This window comes from Homo sapiens, chromosome 13 (assembly GCF_000001405.40).
Source record: "Homo sapiens chromosome 13, GRCh38.p14 Primary Assembly".
Lineage (NCBI taxonomy): Eukaryota > Metazoa > Chordata > Mammalia > Primates > Hominidae > Homo > Homo sapiens.
The window spans coordinates 28,304,624-28,323,590 of NC_000013.11; the positions used below are offsets into that span (position 1 = coordinate 28,304,624).

General features: G+C 46.3%; 1 protein-coding gene and 1 long non-coding RNA gene across 2 annotated transcripts in view, besides 2 other annotated features; one reads left to right on the forward strand and one right to left on the reverse strand.

Moving 5' to 3' along the window:
• Nucleotides 1–18,967, reverse strand: part of FLT1 (fms related receptor tyrosine kinase 1) — a 194,783-nt gene that overhangs the window by 4,278 nt on the left and 171,538 nt on the right. The window contains exons 21-29 of the mRNA NM_002019.4: nucleotides 18,167–18,323; nucleotides 17,639–17,736; nucleotides 16,840–16,962; nucleotides 14,800–14,911; nucleotides 12,875–12,974; nucleotides 7,370–7,475; nucleotides 6,967–7,109; nucleotides 4,220–4,304; nucleotides 2,055–2,149 (exon numbers count right to left, since the gene is read on the reverse strand). Of these exons, the coding sequence (NP_002010.2) occupies nucleotides 2,055–2,149; nucleotides 4,220–4,304; nucleotides 6,967–7,109; nucleotides 7,370–7,475; nucleotides 12,875–12,974; nucleotides 14,800–14,911; nucleotides 16,840–16,962; nucleotides 17,639–17,736; nucleotides 18,167–18,323 (1,019 nt within the window). The remainder of the gene's footprint in view (nucleotides 1–2,054; nucleotides 2,150–4,219; nucleotides 4,305–6,966; nucleotides 7,110–7,369; nucleotides 7,476–12,874; nucleotides 12,975–14,799; nucleotides 14,912–16,839; nucleotides 16,963–17,638; nucleotides 17,737–18,166; nucleotides 18,324–18,967) is intronic.
• Nucleotides 8,138–14,295, forward strand: LOC124903141 (uncharacterized). Its single transcript, XR_007063736.1, has 3 exons — nucleotides 8,138–8,224; nucleotides 8,984–9,157; nucleotides 13,906–14,295. It is a non-coding gene; the product is annotated as an uncharacterized LOC124903141 (long non-coding RNA).
• Nucleotides 16,549–16,843: a silencer, noted in NCBI's record as "tiled region #10890; HepG2 Repressive DNase matched - State 8:EnhW, and K562 Repressive non-DNase unmatched - State 23:Low". NCBI's record gives its function as "represses a minimal TATA promoter and a strong SV40 promoter by Sharpr-MPRA in HepG2 and K562 cells {active_cell/tissue: HepG2 | K562}" and the evidence as "EXISTENCE:reporter gene assay evidence [ECO:0000049][PMID:27701403]".
• Nucleotides 17,606–18,805: an enhancer, noted in NCBI's record as "BRD4-independent group 4 enhancer chr13:28896366-28897565 (GRCh37/hg19 assembly coordinates)". NCBI's record gives its function as "activates an origin of replication core promoter dependent on BRD2, P300/CBP, MED14 and CDK7 cofactors, and independent of BRD4, by STARR-seq in HCT116 cells {active_cell/tissue: HCT116}" and the evidence as "EXISTENCE:reporter gene assay evidence [ECO:0000049][PMID:35650434]".

An 18,967-nucleotide genomic window follows, 5' to 3' on the forward strand; every position in this document is an offset into this window, starting at 1 on the left:
ACCATAATCAACTTTAGAGCGTTGTCATCATCCCCCAAAACGCACACCTGTTAGCAGTCTTTCTTCCTCACGCCCTCCAGCCCCAGCCCAAGGAAACTACTGGTCTACTTTCTGTCTCTAGATTTACCAATTCTGGGCATTTCATGTAAAAGGAATCATGCAATAGGAAATATTTTATGACTGGCTTCTTTTACTTAGCATAATATTTTCAAGGTTCATCCATATTGTAGCATGCATGCATACTTCACACTTTTTATTGACAATATTATATTGTGTGGATATACCATACTTTATTCATTGAGTCATCAACTGATGGATATTTAGGTTGTTTCTACTTTTGGCTATCATGAATAATGCTGCTATGAACATCTGTGTGCAAGTTTTGCTGTGGACATCAGTTTTCATTTCTCTTGAGTATATGCCTAGGAGTTGAATTGCTGAGTCTCGGGATAACTGTTTAACCTTATGGGCAACAGCTAAACTGTTTTCCAAAGTGACTGCCCCATTTTACATTTCCACCAGCAGTGTATGAGGGTTCCAATTTCTCCATATCCTCGCCACACTGACTTCATCTAGCTATCCTCATGGGCGTAAAGTGGTATCTTATGGTAATTTCTTTCCCTTTTTTCTCCCTCTGTCACCCAGGCTAGAGTGTAGTGGTGCAATTGTGGCTCACTGCAGCCTCAACCTCCCAAGCTCAAGTGATCCTCCCACCCCAGCCTCCCAAGTAGCTGGGACTACAGGCACATGCCAGCACACCCCGGCTAATTTCTGTAGTTTTAGTAGAGAAAGGGTTTTGCCATGTTGCTCCCGGGCTCAAGTGATCCACCCACCTCAGCCTCCCAAAGTGTTGAGACTACTGCATGAGCCACCACACCCAGCCCCTCATGGTAGTCTTGATTTGTATTTCCCTAATGACTGATGATGTTGAGCATCTTTTCGTGTACTCACTGGCCATGCCCACCTGTTTCTGTAAATACAGTGTGTGGGAACAGAGCCATGCCTACTTGATGATGTATTGTCTACGGTTGCTTTTTATACTATAATGCAAGCTTGCCCAACTTGTGGCCCACGGGCTGCATGAATCCCAGGATGGCTTTGAGTGCAGCCCAACACAAACTCGTAAACTTTCTTAAAACATTCTGAGATTTTTTTGCAACTTTTTTAGCTTACCAGCGATTGTCAGTGTCCGTGTATTTCATGTGTGACCCAAGATAATTATTCTTCCATTGTGGCCCAGGGAAGTCAAAAGATTGGACACCCCTGCTAATGGCAGTAGGGAGCATTTGCTGACTATCTAGCCCTTTAAAAAAATGGCTGCCTACCCCGGATTTAGGTGAAAGAGGAAAAGGTTCTGCCTTCGGGTGAGACAGGGACAGGCATTTGAATGAGGAAAGGAAGGAACATCCGACAGGTGCAGCTTTTCCCAGTCCAGCACCATTGCAAGGTAGAGACTCGCACAGAGAAGCTGCAGTGGCATTCGGTGGTGCATAAGGCAAGGACTCCCCAGTGGTGGCCACGGCGTGGAGGGAGGAGCTGGTGGACTACAAGCCAGGGCTTTGTGGAGAAATTGTCAAGTGAGAAAAGGGTGCCAGGATGAAATGGGAAAGTCATTCATCTGTAGGGGCTGAGCTCTCAGGGTACAGGTCTTAGCCCCGGAAAACAGTACTGTGTCTCCTCGTGTATGAACCCTGCCGGCATAGGGAGTGACAGCGGGGGCATCCTCTCCCACCGCCGGGAGCGTGTCTCTGTCTGCACCACGCATAGGTGGGCACATCAGGCTTCTTTCACCTGAGGCACTGTGCTGGCCACATCTGGACTGCCTGTCTTTGCAAGATTTTCTGCATGTTTTCCCCAGAGCTTGCTGCTCATATGTCCCGTTTGATGTTCCCCTTTTTTTGCCCTCTGGGGGGAAATGGTTTTCTGCAACTCCCGGATACCACAGTTCAGGAGGGCAAGTAGTCCTCAAACATCCCTCATTATACCACCTTCCCCCAGCATCTCCCCTCGTACCCCTCCATCAACTGATCACAGAAAAGATACCCAATTCTTACTCAATCTTGAGCGAGGCCTTGGGTTTGCTGTCAGTCCAGGTGAAGCGCTTCAGCATGGGAGAGGCCAACAGAGTGCTGCTGTCGCCCTGGTAGTCCTAGGGGGAGAAGGAGAAAGGTTATACTCTTGCCTGGCCCAGCGGGGGTCCATGCTGAGCCTGAGGGATGATCCTGGGATACATCTGTTGATCCAGGCTCTGCCTCACCCTCCACAATCCCAGCCTATTGAGACAAAGCATTTCTCTAAGTTGGCCACTACAAACTTGACCCGCTGCAAATCATGTCTGATCCCCAGTGACTTTGAGGCCCTTCCTGAACATGAAGTAAATACATTTAGGCAAAAGGGGAAATGGCAAGTAACAGGTTAGCATTTTCCATAGTAAACTGTGATGCAATTTATTGCAACAAAGATACTAAAACTAATTTGGCAGATCACGATTGACTATGAGTATGCTATGGTAGTGGTGGCCATCATAGACACAAATTCTAAGAAATCGTAAAGACATCATTCGATTTTTTTTCTTGAACTCAATGGAATTCTCAGCCCCCAGCCCTTGGTCATGGTCTCCAGCAATTAGACTTCCTTGTTGGTTTCTTTTGGCAGTGAGTTGCCTGCAGACTCTTCACTACTTTGTTAATACGGCATGTTCCACTAAGTGGATCCCACGCTTTGTTCCTGCCACCCTTTAAGGCTCTTACAGGGCAGTGTTCCTGTCCTTAATTACGAGTAAACACCTAAGCAAATAAAGAAGCTGTCATCATTCACCACTGATTTAGGGTGGGGAGGGTGAAGGTTGAGAATTCTTTCACGTTTTGCTCAGTATTTTTCCCTTGGCCTTGAAAAAAATGTGCCAAGCAGTCAAACAAGATATCCATATACTTCACCTTTATATTCTTCAGCTTATTTTTGATGCTTAAAATATTTAAAATAATATTTCCCTTTATCTGGTGTGTCTGACAAGGTTGTGGTTTTTCGTTTTTGATTTTTTTTTTTTTAAGGGTGACTGTGCTTGCTTCAAGGCCACACTGATTGTGGTGATCACCTTCACACTGTCATTGGCCTTCCAGGCCCTTTATGGGACAAGGTCATTGCCAGCACTCCTTTTTTTTTTGAGACGGAGTCCAGCTCTGTCGCCCAGGCTGCTAGAGTGCAGTGGCGCGATCTCGGCTCACTGCAACCTCCGCCTCCCGGGTTCACGCCATTCTCCTGCCTCAGCCTTCCTAGTAGCTGGGACTACAGGAGCCCACCACCACGCCCAGCTAATTTTTTTGTGTTTTTAGTAGAGACTGGGTTTCACCATGTTAGCCAGGATGGTCTCAATCTCCTGACCTCGTGATCCGCCTGCCTTGGCCTCCCAAAGTGCTGGGATTACAGGCTTGAGCCACTGCGCCCGGCCTCACCAGCACTTCTTAAACATTAATGTGTGCAGGAATCCCCTAGGGATCTTGCCAAGGTGCAGCCTGACTCAGTGGGTGTGGGCAGGTCCCGAGAGCTGGCATTTCTAGCCAGTTCCTAGGTCGTAGGAACCTGCCTATCTGGAGATCACAGTGAGTCCCAGAGTCTGCAACATCAGAACTGCAGTATCGCTCCTGCCCATGCTCCTCTCCTCCCCTTAGCCCCTCAACCCCACATCACAGGGCTTTAGAGAGAAGAGCTGGGAGACCTCTTGTTTGCCAGGCTATACTGGTTAGCTTCTCCCATTGTGATTGGGTAGGAACACAGCTGTTCAATCTGTAGAACCTCAGGGGAAAGGAGCATAAGGCTTAGGTGGACCCCTCCCAGCCTCAAGGCTGCTTGCAGGAACGCGCTCTCTGTTACATCACAAAGCCCATCACCCACACAGCTGGGAGTTCCTCTGTTACTCTGAAAGCAAAGCTGCATCACTGACAGCTAAGCAGCTTAGAAACACACAATGGAGTTTCCTCAGGGTCTAAATTCCTACCACGCAGGGACTTGGGTCCTGGAGTGAGTGCATGGAACTCTACTTTCAAATTAGTTCTGCACAGCTAGGTCTAGTTGTCAGTCCTCCCCACACTGTCATTTCAGCCACTCCTGAATCCAGACCCTCACTGACCAAGAACTACTACATTACTGGCGTTGGTGTTTGGAAGGGATCTGAAGAAGGGGTCTATCGGGGTGCACTAGGTACCTTAACTTCACGACTTACATCAAACATGGAGGTGGCATTCGGTAAAAGTTCTTCAAAGGTTTTGATTCTTTCCAGGCTCATGAACTTGAAAGCATTTACGTATCTAATGAAGAAACAGAAAGAATTATCAAGACAGGAAAAGGCATCCAGCTCTAATGAGTCAGGAGACCACAGGCACCATATCCCAGCTAAGATGAACCAACACACCAACAGGAATCACCTAACTCCTGAGGCCCCGATCTCCCCGCCGTGACCCCTGGGAATCCTGACAGCATTGCCACTGCCTCCCGTGGTTGTCAATTCACATTCTGTAGGGTTGAGGAAACTCCCAGAGGGACCTACTCTGGTCCGTTGTGAAATCAGAGAATGCCAGACATAGGAGAGACTGGAGGCATCATCTCGTCTGAGTGCCCAATGGCACAGGAGAGAAATGATGTGCAGGGAAGTGGTATGACTTTATCAGGTGCTCTGAAAAGGATGTGAGGTGGCAAAGTGACCTGGCATGGCTACACGGCTAAATATTATTTAATGGCATAATCGAGTGCTAGCGCCAGGCTTGTATTTTGTGTGTGTGTGTGATTACAGATTGGGAGAATTGGGTAGTGTTGTATGATGTCTCTATAACTACCTACTGACTTTTGTTGATGATGTATTAGGAAAGACTATTGGAGACATCCACTCTGTGGTTACTCACAAGGCAAGTTCACCTACTGACTGAATTTCTCAGTCCCATACTCTGTCACTCTCTGCCAGTCCCAGTGTCTTGGGCAAGCTCCCTACTGGCTTAAGGCTAAGCAGCCTTAGAAGGGTCCACATATAACTTTGCCATGCCACCCACCCCCCCTCCCTCTCTCTAACCCAGCCAGACCTTGCCAATTTATTTAATCCGAACTAGTTTTCCCAGCTTTACAAAATGATGACACATCTGCTTCAGCCTCTTGGGCTGGTTGTGAGGCCTGAACAGTGAGGCTGACCTGTAATCCATCACCACAAGTCTGGATTTGCCCACTGGGTTTCTTTGAGGCCTGTCACAGGTGGGTAGCAGTATTTTCTTTTTTCCTTTTTTTTTTTTTTTTTTTTTTGGAGACAGAGCCTTGCTCTGTCACCCAGGCTGGAGTGCAGTGGCACGATCTCGGCTCACTGAAACCTCCGCCTCCCTGGTTCAAGTGATTCTCCCACCTCAGCCTCCTGAGTAGCTGGGACTACAGGTACGTGCCACCACACCCAGCTAATTTTTGTATTTTTAGTAGAGATGGGATTTCACCATGTTGGCCAGGCTGGTCTTGAACTCCTGACCTCAGGTGATCCACCCATCTCGGCCTCCCAGAGTGCTGGGATTACAGGCGTGAGCCACTGTGCCCGGCCGCAAGCAGTATTTTCTGACTGCTGCAGCTTCTTCCCATATCTTCCCTGGTGGCTGAACTGAGGTTAGAGCCAGAGAGCTGTGCCTACTGCAAAGAGAGATGCTAGAGGCCCATAGTACAGTCTGGAGGCCCTAAAAGGAGTCCTGACTGCATCGGGTACAGGGAGGGAGGGTCAGAACTCCTGGGTTAGAAAATTATTCTGCCACTTTCTAGCCACACAGTTTCGGCAAGCCTTCCTTCTGGGAGCCTTAAGGTCCCCATTTGTGTAACGGGAATGATATGTTCTTCCCAAGACTGCTCTGGGCGTAAGAGGAGTTGATACATGGAAAAAGCCTAGCACCTTGCCAGACCCAGCACTTGTCTGTGTAACCGTCATCCCTGCCCAGGTTTCGTGCACGCCTAACTATCAGTCCTGAAGTGCAGTCCCCGGGCCAGCAGTGGCCACAGTACATATTTGTTCCCTTGCCTTGCCCCTTCTCCAATTCCCTCTGCAGTAATACGGGATAGATGCGTTTGTTAGGTCAAAACAAAGCAAAACAAATGAAAACACAGCTCGCTTTGTTTGTTTAGTTTTATCTAAGGTTTCACCAAAAAATTCAATGTAATGGGGAAAAGAAAAGATGGGGGAAGGTTCTAGAATAAGATAGACAAGAAACTTAAGAAAATGTAATCTGTTATTCTTAATTGGATCCTGCTTTTAAAAAAAACATGTAAAGACACTTGGGTGGAATTATGGAAATCTGACTATTAGATGGCATTAAGGAATTTATTTGGTGCGATAATTTTGGTGTGGTTTACACAGGAGAATGTCCTTCTTTGAGTGCAGTCACATAATCATAGCCCACTGCAGCCTCCATCTCCTGGGCTCAAGTGATCCTCCAACCTCAGCCTCCTGAGTAGCTGGGACTACAGGTGCCCACCACCACACCCGGCTAATTTTTAAATTTTTAGTAAGATGAGGTCTCTCTATGTTGCCGAGGCAGATTTTGAACTCCTAGGCTCAAGTGATCCTCCCACCTCAGTCTCCCAAAGTGCTGCGATTACAGGCACGAGCCACTGTGCCCAGCAACAATAGCCTTCTTCCAAAATGTATACTAAAGTATTTAGGAGTAAAGTGCTATTATGCCTTAAGCCTCCTTTTAAATGGTTTGGCAAAAAGAAAAATCCGTAACAAACACAATCATAGAGAGTATAATAGACAAAATAGGGCAAAATGTTAACAGTTGAATTTAGGGGATGGGCATATGGGTGGTGATCAACATAATCTTTCTTTCTTTCTTTCTCTCTTTCTTTCTTTCTCTCTTTCTTTCTCTCTTTCGTCTTTCTTTCTCTTTCGTCTTTCTTTCCTTCTTTTTTTTGTTGGAAAATTCTGTGATATAAAGTTTGAGAAAGAAATCTTACCTGACATCATCAGAGCTTCCTGAATTAAACTTCGGAGCTGAAATACTTTCCTTGAAGAAGTCCTCAGAGAAGGCAGGAGTTGAGTATGTAAACCCACTATTTCCTGTCAGTATGGCATTGATTGGGATGTAGTCTTTACCATCCTAAAATACCAAAGGTAGAGCTCTCGTTGCACCAATTCTGACTTCAACAATTTCTATGAACCATTATGTCAACTTTGACTATGTCATTTGCACAATCTTGGTTGTGTTTTGAGAAGATAATTCTGTATACACACACACACACCCTTTTTTTAAACTTCTGATCTCAGCTATTATATTAATAGCTCTTAAAAAAAAAACAAATAAAATGCCCCCCTGACGTACATTCAAAGGCATTTTGATGTAAATAAATTTAGTTTTACCTGTTGTACATTTGCTTGAAGCAAATCACCTAGTTTTTCCACAAGTTCTGCAAATCTTGGCCTTTCTTTTGGGTCTCTGTGCCAGCAGTCCAGCATGATCTGATAGCTGGTGGGGAAAACAGCAACAGAAATAGTTGGAGAGCAGTGATCATCCTATGCATTGCCTTACGTACTACAAAGGGAGGGCTGTCATCATCCGCATAAAGCCCAAGCTTTCTGTACTATGTGACCCTGCTTCATTTTTAGGTTTGGGTTTATAGCACCAGCACTTAAAAGGCTGTCTGGGCCAGGTCCTGTGGTCAGTGGAAAACACGTCTACCAAGGCAGACTAACCAACCCACCAGAGCTCATGGATACCCAGGTTCTTTGTTGTGCCTGTGGCCTCTGCAGATGGAAGGTCTGAGTTCTGTGAATGAAACACAGCAATTCGGAAAGGAAACCCCACCGCTCACTGCAGTTCAATGTGAAGTGGAGTACTCCTCCCCACACTTACAGAAGTAGGACGATGTCCTTAAAGTTAAAAAAAAAAAAAGTCATACAGCCATAAATATCAATGGCTGAATAGTTTGTAGTACTTATTTCATTCTCGAGTTGTAACAAAGGTTGGTTTGAGCTGGCTTCTTAAAAAGCATGTGGCATTTCCAAGTCCTCACACCTCCCTTTATGGGCTCAGCAGTGGAGACTGGTGGGGAAGGTCCTGCGTACATGACTTTGTCACTTCCAGAAGGTGAAGCCCACAGTGTGGAGTTTCCGGGGCTGTGAGCAAGGTTCCTGTGTGTAGCTGATCATTCTCCCCCAGCACTGCAAAGCCGCTGTTACAAACTGGCCTCCCACCACTCAAGGCACACAGCACAGGTTGGGCTCCTGGATAATGAAAACATTTGTCTTAATAGCACAGAGGTCAAATCTTGTCCTGGGATTCCAATGTCAACAGACTCCTCTGTGATTCTTCTCTTACATTTTATTTTTATTTTTATTTTTATTTTTATTTTTATTTTTATTTTGATGCAGAGTCTCACTCTGTCATCCAGGCTGGAGTGCAGTGCCATGATCTCAGCTTACTGCAACCTCCGGCTCCCAGGTTCAAGCGATCCTCCTGCCTTAGCCTCCTGAGTAGCTGGGATCACAGGCACCCACCACCACACCTGGTTAATTTTTGTATTTTTAGTAGAGATGGGGTTTTATCATGTTTTCCAGGCTGGTCTCGAACTCCTGGCCTCAATTGATTCACCAGCCTCGGCCTCCCAAAGTTCTGGGATTACAGGCGTGAGCCACTGCGCCCGGCCTCTTCTTTACATTTTAGATGTAAAGGTATCAGGCTCCTCTCTTGGTCATGTCTGCACGGAATCGAGGTCTGTACCTACCGCCCTCTCTGAAAAACACAGGCCAGAGGTCCATACACACACTGCATTAAGAATTGATTCTTCTTGAACCTTGTGCTCTTCAAGGGATGTTTATTATATGTTAACTCTTCTCTCAGAAGATGGTCTGGATGAGAAGGGACTCTGACTTACACTCAAACCTGAATGGGCTCCGAATTTGGCTCTGGGTGGGAATTGGGCTGTAAGCACTATGTGGGCTGGGCCTCATTTCCACACCTCTCGCCTACCACAGGGCAATAAATATCTGCTAAAAGAAGTCAGACTGGTCTCCGGGAAGAGATAACTCTGCTCCTTCTGTGAATTCTTCAGCTGTACTGCAGACATTACTTGTGCTGGGAGATGGCGGTTGCTGGGGAAAAAACCTGAGAAACCCTAGTTCATATCCTCCCTCTGACACTTCTTAGAGGTATGCCTTTAGGGGGCGCCAATGGCTCCAGATATCTCTTAAGTATATTTCTATTTTGTTTCAAAGTATATGAGGTGGCTGCCAAAGGCAGTAAGAATACAGGGAGGTAAAAAAAAAAAAAAAAAAAAAGAAGAATCCGGGTGTGGTGGCTCACACCTGTAGTCCCAATGCTTTGGGAGGCCATGGTGGGACAATCGTTTGAGGTCAGGAGTTCAAGATCGTCCTGGACAACATAGTGAGACTTTATCTCCACAAAAAAATACAAGAATTAGTCAAGCATGGTGATGCATGCCTGTAGTCCCTGTAGTACAGGAGGCTGAGGCGGGAGGATCACTTGAGCCTGGGAGGTTGAGGCTGGGCTCCAAAGAGAGGCCTTCAGGCAGAGGCTCTGGGCTCGTCTCCTCCTGCACCATCGTCTCCCCACAGGATCAAGCTGCTGTCTGGGAGATGCACCATCCTGAGCAGGACACTCCCTAGTTTCCCTGCTGACACTCGTAAACGGAACCATCTACAACCACTTGCTGTTTGTTACTTTTGACTCTTGGATTCCGATTTCTAGTTTCCACTCTTCTTGCCTAAAATCCAATGCAAATCATCTCAGCAAACATCAAATGAAAAGAAAAAAAAAATAAAAAAATTCATTGCTTATTCCCTTATTGAAAGACATCTGATTCAACAGTATCTGGGCCAGGAACCAACAACTCAATGTTACAAGATTTTGTACCACTAAGTAAATGGGTTTAGTAAAGTTATGAGACATTAGCTTGCATCCAAGCTGGGGATGAGGGGCCCCCAGAAAGTTTTCTTTCCAAGCTATCACCCAAGTTCCCAAATACACACCGCTTTAGGCCAAGTTCAGATCACAGAATCCCAGTTCTGAGAAGCTGCACTTGGTCCTCACCCAGCCCTTCCTACTGTTAGAACAAACAAGAAGGAAATTACTCCATCAGCTTTCACATGCTGGAGAAAATGGCTGAAGGTTTGAAGTCTGGCCTTCTGAGGAAATATTTCACAGAGCTTCTTACTTTTTAAAATTTCTAAAATCTCTCCCTCCTCAGAATTAAGGAACCATACCACTCTCTCTAGGTCACCTGAGGCACGGGAGCTACCTGAGCGAGGTTTATGTAAAGACTTGAAGGTTTGAGAAAGTCCAAAGCAGTTTTTGGTCCAAAGCTGATGTGACTTTGTACCTCTGAGTTATTTGCGACCACAGCCTGGGTATGAATGGGAAACACACTCTGCAGCAGTGTAGGATGGTGCTGTGGACTCTGGACTCAAGCTGAATTCGCTTATTACCAACGCAGGCTTGAGCAAATCACTTACATGTGCGGTGCCTGTTTTCTCATCTGTGAAATGGGGATCATGGTAGTCCTACTTTATAGGACTGTTATGAGCATTAAATAAATTAATGCTTAAAATAGTGGCACTTATAAGCACCAAATAACTATTTAATCAGTACTATTCAATACTGTTATAATAAAAACTAATTTCAGGCCAGGCATGGAGGCTCACGCCTGTAATCCCAACACTTTGGGAGGCCAAGGCCAGTGGATCACTTGAGCTCAGGAGTTCGAGACCAGCCTGGCCAACATGGAGAAACCCCATCTCTACAAAAAAATATAAAAATTAGCCAGGCGTGGTGGCACATGCCTGTAGTCCCAGCAACTCAGTAGGCTGAGGAAAAAGAATGACTTGAACTCAGGAGGTGGAGGTTGCAGTGAGCTGAGATCACGCCACTGCACTCTAGCCTGGACAACAGAGCGAGACACTATCTCAAAAAAACAAACAAAAAAACCCAACTAAACTAATTTCATACTATTTAGAATTTATATGGAAGTAAAAATAAAACTTAATTTCATACTGTTTTGCATTTATTTTGATGTAAAAATATTGTTATTTAATAATAACAACTATTAGTGTAATTGAGAACTTTCTCGAGATTTTCAGACTATATGAAGATTGGAAGGACATATTTAATTCAAAGCATGAGTGGCCATATCAGAGAAGCATTTCTACTGAGGAACGTGGGGTCTGTTCCTAATTCATCAGCCGTGGTCTAGGGACATCAGTCCAGAGGCTTGGGTTCTAAATGTCTCCTTTGCTTCTCAGCTGACAGACGGCACATTGCTTCAGTTCTCGGCATCTCAGTTTCATTACTTGCTAAATTCAGATTACAATAGCTGCCCTGACCACCCCTCAAGGTCTCTGGGAACTTCAAATGAGACTATGTGTGGGAAAACACTTAGAAAATCATAAAGTTAATCATCTAGCTCTATCCCCAGCTCTCAGAAACAGGCCTTGCCTCAGCTCCCTGTACTTTTCTGATGAGGACACCACGCACCAGTGACAAGAACAGGTCCCCTCCCGCTTCCCTACGCTCAGGCAGAGCTCCCCAGCCCTGCTGTTGGGCCTGAGTCTCCTGTCCACCTCGTCCAGTTCCCCATCCTGGGTCTGACCTACCCTTACCCCGAGATGATGAAGGAAAGAGACAGTGACTTTGCCCTTTGGCCAAGCCCACACTTCCTGCATTCCCTCTGATTCCTTCTGAAAGGCCAGCCAGGGCTTCTGACAGGACCCCATTGTGTGGGTGGAATGGGAGGGCCCCTGCCAGTTCAGGAAAGGTGGTGCCGCCTCAGGGAGGCCCAAGTCCTTGTCAGCAGCTCCACAAAAGTGCAAGTGTCATCACATTCCTGCTCAGGCCTCAAAGTGCAAAACATCCACAAAGCCCCAGGAAAAAAAGTGTCCAAGACAGGCAAGCAAGTGCAATTTGCACAGTGGAGAAAGCCTCACATGGACACCCGAAAAGCCATCTGACCAGGCAGCTTCAGACAGCTGCTGGGCCTATTCCTAAAAGGTTCTTTTTTTTTTTTTTTTTTGAGACATAATCTCACTCTGTCACCCAGGTTGGAGTGCAGTGGCGTGATCTTGGCTCACTGCAATCTCCGCTTCATAGGCTCAAGTGATTCTCATGCCTCAGCCTCCCAAGTAGCTGCCACCAGGCCCGGCTAACTTTTGTATTTTTAGTAGAGACGGGGTTTCACCATGTCGGCCAGGCTAGTCTCGAACTCCTGACCTCAAGTGATCCGCCCGCCTCTGCCTCCCAAAGTGCTGGGATTACACATGTGAGCCACTGCGCCCGGCCCCTATTCCTCCCAAAGGATTCTAAAGAAGTTGTATTGCCCACAAAGCCTTCTGTGAAGCATAATCATGACATCAGGAAGTTCCCCTTTTCCTCTCCAAGACCTGTTCTGCAGACCACATCAACCCCCTCACGGGTGTTCTGTGCAGACACAGGACTGGTCACAAGACCAAGGTCTAGCCCTCCATCCCTGGGGCTGCTAGGCCTGTTTGGCTCCCACTCCGTGAGTGAGGCCAAGGTCTTGCATTCAGTTCCTGGGTGGTCTGTTTGTTTTGCCTGGATTCATACCTAGAAACTGAATTTCTAACTTCAGTTCCCAGCTAGAGCCCTTGAAAAGTCATGTCAGTGGTCAGGACAGGAAATAGGTAGGGATGGGTCAAGGGCCACGTGCCCCACTGCAAGAAAACACTCCCAGCATATCTGGGCCTGATGGGCTGAGGGGAGCATCTCTAAAGGAAAGAAGAACCTTGGCATCTTCCAAGACTGGGACTCTAAGAATCCATAAAACATCCCCTCTCAGGAATGCCCTGGTGAAAAGCGAGCTGTCAGATGGGGAGCAGAGGGCACCAAGGGCTCACATTTCAGGAGTAGAGTACTCAGGAGCTCTCATCCTCATGCCTTCCCTCAGGCGACTGCAAAAGTCCTCATCCATTTGTACTCCTGGGTATGGAGACCCACCTGCGGGAGACAATGTGGAAAACACAGGGCCTGTTATGGCTTAAGGGTACAAAAGACCAAGAGGGGACAATTCAGTGTTTCTTTCCTCCCTTTAAAGCTACGTTTTAGTAATAAATTCCCAGGGATTACAACAGATCTCAACATACCGTACAACACACAGAGAAGCTCAGCAAATCCTTGCTAAGGACACCCGCTTGGTTGGGTGGTCACATGGTGCGGGGCACCTGGTGCTCACAGGCTATTCCTATGGCTACTTCTGCCTGTGTGGTCAGAGGAAGGGGTGTCGTCTGAAGGGTCCTTGCCTTCTCCCCACAAGTAACTAAAGAAGTCCCATCATTAGAGACTCATCCTTTGGGTTAGTGAGCTTTTGTTTTTTTTGAAGAGACGGGTCTCCCTCTGTCACCAGGCTGGAGTGTGGTGGCATGATCTTAGCTCACTGCAGCCTCGAACTCCTGGGCTCAAGCAATCCTCCCACCTCAGCCTCCCGAGCAGCTGGGACTCCAGGTGCTCACCATCACCACACTTGGCTTGGGCTTCTTTTTAAAAAGCCAATAGACTTGGGATAGGCTACATAGGAATCATTCACACTTGAGTGGGAATGACTTTAATTCACTTTCTTGCAACCTTCCTATAGTACCAGGGCTCTAGGAGTTGTGACAGGCCTGAGGGAAGGGGGGCTTTGCGCTCCAGGGCTGGGCTGAATGGAGTGGAATGGGGTGGGGGCTGCCCGTGGCCAGGAGTCTGCAGACCTAAGGGCGCCAGAGAGGCCTAGGCTTTGCCTTCTGCCAGCTTTACTGCCCAGGATTCCCCTGCAACCTTTCCTTTTGGGGGGATTCTTGCCAGGGCTGGGGGTGGCAAGGCCTTCTAATGCACTCTTGCTCTAGCCCTGCAGCCTCATCTACCTCAGCATTTGTTTGTGTGCATTTTCTAGTGATTACTGCTGGTAGGAAGCAGCTGGGAGGCGTGCAGTGCTGGCACCGTGTCATCGCAGGACCACTGCAGCCGCCAAGCTGCTTTCAAAGACTGGAAGCAACAGGTGCCTGTCATCGAAAGCAGGGGAATGATTTTCACACATTACAGGAAACCAGGGATGTTACTGGGTGACTTTTATTTGCTGTGAAAGGCAAATTTTTGGCAAAGCCCAAAAGACTCTTGGCGAGAACTTGAGTTTTAGAGGCCTCAGATCATCACTGTGTGTCTGCAAGCAGATGTGGGCTCTGCACGCATCTGTGTGCTTTGAACAGGACTTCCAGCCACCCATAGTGGATGTTATTGCAAGCAGAATAAATACAACCAGTGTTGTTTATTGCTTATCCTGTATAAACCAGTGTCCAGAGCCATATCATGTGTTCATATCAGAGGCACTGGAAAGGTCTCCTGTTTCTAACAACACCTTCCTCGCTGGGGCAGCTGAGCTTGTTATGGCCTTTCCTAGGAAGAAATTCTGAGGTGGTGGGAGACGCGGGGAGGGAAGCGGTAAGGGCATTAGAGGTGTGGGTGTTGAGGAATTGGAAAAGGACAGAATTGGGCAAAGTACAGAAAAAGTACTTTGCTTCAGACTTTATACCCTTGTTCATGATCGTATAAAGCCCTTTTACATGACCTTGTTCTGACCTTGTTCATGATCATATAAAGCCCTTTTACAGTAGAGGGCAGACATGCGTACGCCATTACTCATCTGAGAGTCTACATGGGCCCATTACACTTTAAGAGTTTTTTGTTACAGTAGGTTCTAATCTAAAGGCTGTCTAACCAAAGGACATTCAGCAGAAGATGCAGACATTTATTTCTGGGCTGTTTGATTTCTTCCTTCTCCCAAATTTACCTAAGGAGAAGATTTCCCACAGCAATACTCCGTAAGACCACACGTCGCTCTTGGTGCTGTAGATTTTGTCAAAGATAGATTCAGGAGCCATCCATTTCAGAGGAAGTCGAGTCTAGAAGAGGGCAAGGGGGCCTTGAGCAGAAGGGCATGAAAACAAAGCACATTCAACCCGAGTGTCCATGGGGTCACCTCCCAGATAACATACGGCCTATAAATCATTTCCGAGAGCAGCTCTGGTTTCCTAACATAGAGAACACCATAGTATGCAGTGTTACGCTAAAAGAGGGAGCTAGAGTGCTATACTGAGTCCCATGAAGGCAGTATATGTTCAGTAAGCCCCTCTGATGTGTTCAGCATGTCCTTATCTGCATAGCTCTGTGAGAAATCCTCCCCCACAAAGAAAGCCTGCACTCCACAGGGACACACTCAGGGCTTGGAAAAGGAAAAGAGTGATCTGAATTTGAAGATATCCTGAAAACTGGTGGTGGTTTCCAAAAATTTTTCCAAAGGAGGATTTTGAAAGCATTCCTATGCAAAAAGACAAGATTTCCAAAGTCACTGAATAGGGAGAGTGTGCAAAAGCATCAGAAAGAAGAGAAGAAGGAAAGAAGTCAGTGTTGAAAGAGAATATACAGTTAGTTTTCAAACATGTAGACAAATCTTCCTCTCTTTCAGATAGCAGGAATCCCAGTGAGTTAGGCCTCACCACTTTAGATGATGGGGATTGATGGGAGGTATGGGATAAAGGAGAGACAAGGAGAAAGGAAGTGGGAGGGGCAGGGAGGCTGACTCAGATACAGACGAACAGAAAGGAGGGGAGGACTAACATGAAGGTTGGTGCCATCTCTCCAGACCAGGGCCCCAAGGAAAGTCTGTTTTCCTTTATTTTTATTTTTTTATTTTTACAAAGGATCAATGTGAAGTCATATGTTTTCCTTCTATACAACAGATTCTGGTGCAGTGGCTCTCGAAGTATGGTCCTGGGACATGCTGTGTCAGCACCTTCTAGAACAAACATGTCCAATTCCTGGCCCGCGGGCCACATGTGGCCCAGGACAGCTTTGAATGCAGCCCGACACAAATTCGTAAACTTTCTTAAAACATGATGAGATTTGTTTGCATTTTTTTTTTTTTTTAGCTCATCAGCTATTGTTAGTGTTAGTGTATTTTATGTGTGGCCCAAGATAATTCTTCTTCTTCCAATGTGGCCCAGGAAAGCCAAAAGATTGGACACCCCTGGTCTAGAAACTGGTTAGAAATGCAAATTCTCAGGCTCCACCCAAGAGTTACTGACTCAGAAACTCTGGGGGGTGGAAGGCTTGTTAGGCCAGCACACTGTAGCGTAACAAGCCTTCTAGGTGATATGTATGTTCAATTAAGCTGGGAACCACTACTGTAACTCATTGGCGCCCAGACATAAGCTTAACCCTCAGGGTATATAGGCTGAGGGTTAAGGAGAAGGGAGGACATGGGAGGTCATCCACAAAAGTGAAAAATAACACTATGTCTAAAAACAAGCAGGGAAGAGAAGCCAGTACGAGCCAGCGGGGAGATGCTAGGCATGGAAGGCCATGGGAGGTAAACAGTCTCCTCCATAGTCAGCTACTGCTGACGGTCTTCCCCGCCCTTTCCTGAGACAGATACACCTGCTGAATCAATCATCTGGGTTTATTTGAGGGAAAGAGTCCAGGCTGTTCTTTTCAGTGGTACAAGGAATTCCCTCAGGATTCAAAGGAAGGTAATGCTAAGGTCTCACCCAGGCCCCACCAAACACTTCTCAGGTTAGCAAGTCTCACGCAGCGCTGCCCAAAGGACAGGTGGGAGGCCAGGCATTAGGGAAGAGCAGAAGCAGGAGACAGTGGCCTTTCTGAGCCTTACACAAGGGCTCTCTGGGATGCCGCTCATCTGGACTGTTTGTCTTCACAGAAAGCCAATGATGGTTTTCAGGGACTACAGCTGAGGAAGTGTAAATATTTACCAAGTCTGTGGTTTAAAAGTGATAGGACACACATGAGTCAAATAAACATCAAACTGACTTACATCTCCTTTTCTCACATAATCGGGGTTCTTATAAATATCCCGGGCAAGGCCAAAATCACAAATCTTCACCACGTTGTTCTCAGATAAAAGAATGTTTCTCGCTGCCAGGTCCCGATGAATGCACTATAATAAAACAGTTGCATAATCAATGCATTTCCTTAACCTAACCAACTAATTTCCTACACCTGTCAGTGTCATTATCTTAATTTGGGAATCCATTTCACATGCTGTGAAGGGAGCACCTCTCGGTGCACACAGAGTTACCATAAACATGAAGAGCCTCTCTACAAATACAGGTCCCCAAGCCCTCAAAGTCAAGAAATGGTCTGAATCCACTGGGCTACTATTTGATCAGCGAAGCTGGTTATCTAAGATTTACCAGTGGGCAAACTTTCCCCACAGTCTTTTATCCTGAGCTGCCAAGATGAGATCTTTCTCCAGCTGCAGTTTTGTGGGAGGGCCCTATATGGCTATATTAATAGTAGCTCTCCTATGAAGTCATGTCTTCTGAGATTTGGGCCAGATTTGAAAATATGCCAGAGGATACTGTGGAGAGCCGATGCCAGGTTTGTCTAGTCTGAAACCTGTGAGTTTTCCCCAGAATTAAGTTCTATCCACTGGTATCCATGACTCCTCATTCTCAAAACTCCTCATATCAAGGCAAATTAAGGCACTTGCAGTGGTGTTTGTTCTACATTTAAGAACATAGGTATCAGCAAATACTAGGAAAAATGAATTTATAGCAAAGGTGTGTGTCCAGCCCTGGCAGAGAAGAAAAACAGTAAACAGCAAGACTGACCTTTCTGGAAGACAGGAACTCCATGCCTCTGGCCACTTGAAAACTGTAAGAAATCAGATCTTCCATAGTGATGGGCTCCTTGTAGAAACCGTCAGAATCTGGAAAGCATTAGAACCGTAACTGTTTGTAATGGCTCTTGTTATCCCACCAAATCCCAGTTTATTGGAACAATGTTAGCAAAACATAAAACAAACCAACAAGTAGATCAGAGTTCATTTTTAAGAGTATTTGAGTTTCAACATGAACACCAGAGATTTTTCCAGGCCTCCAGCCCACTTTATCCAAGCATGGGGGCAGGGGGATGATCCATTAAGATGAAAATCCCTGAGGGGAGAAAACGGTACAGTTCCCTGTCAAAATTAGTAACTCTGTAAATTATCTTAATTCAAATCTTATCTCCTCAGGACATTACCATTCGAGTCTCCCACGGATGTTTATTAGAGTGATAAATAAGAAAAAAATTTCAGAGATGCATAGTATGTTGTAAAAATATCTCAGCGCGTAGGACAGGAAGGAATTAATACCTACCCTCCTCTTCCTCAACATCACTCAGACTTTTATCTTCCTGAAAGCCGGAGCTCGCAAAGCTTTCGCTGCTGGTGACGCTATCTAGTCTTGGTTTCTTGCCTTGTTCCAGGCCTGGCTCCATTTTTTCTTTCTTAGGCTCCATGTGTAGTGCTGCATCCTTTGAAGAGACCGAAAAGGACCCAGGTGAAAAGGAGCTCCAGCACAGCAGTGGGAAACCAGTCCCTCAACTGGCAATCGCCTGATGAGAAATGAGAGCGTTTCACTTCTCAAAATGGATCGTGAACTAGCACAGGGGCCCTACGGTGTCCAGGAGCCTGACTACCTCTGGAGTTGCAGAGTCTATTGTGCTCTTGCCTGGGCTTCTAGACAGCATCTTAGATCAGATAAAAAAAAAAAATTAAGAGTGGTGGGTATTTACTGAATGCTTACTCTGTGTGAGCTGGTATATTAAAAGCTTTAGGTACATTTCTTGTTTAGTGTTTCCAACAATTTTACGAAGTAGTTCTTATTTATACATGGAGAAACAGGTTCAGAGAAGTAAAGTAATCAAATTCACATGCAGCTAATAAATAGCAAAGCTGGCCGGGCACAGTGGCTCACGCCTGTAATCCCAGCACTTTGGGAGGCCGAGCCAGGTGAATCACGTGAGGTCGGGAGTTTGAGATCAGCCTGACCAATATGGAGAAACCCCGTCTCTACTGAAAATACAAAATTAGCCGGGCATGGTGGTGCATGCCTGTAATCCCAGCTACTCAGGAGGCTGAGGCAGGAGAATTGCTTGAACCCAGGAGGTGGAGGTTG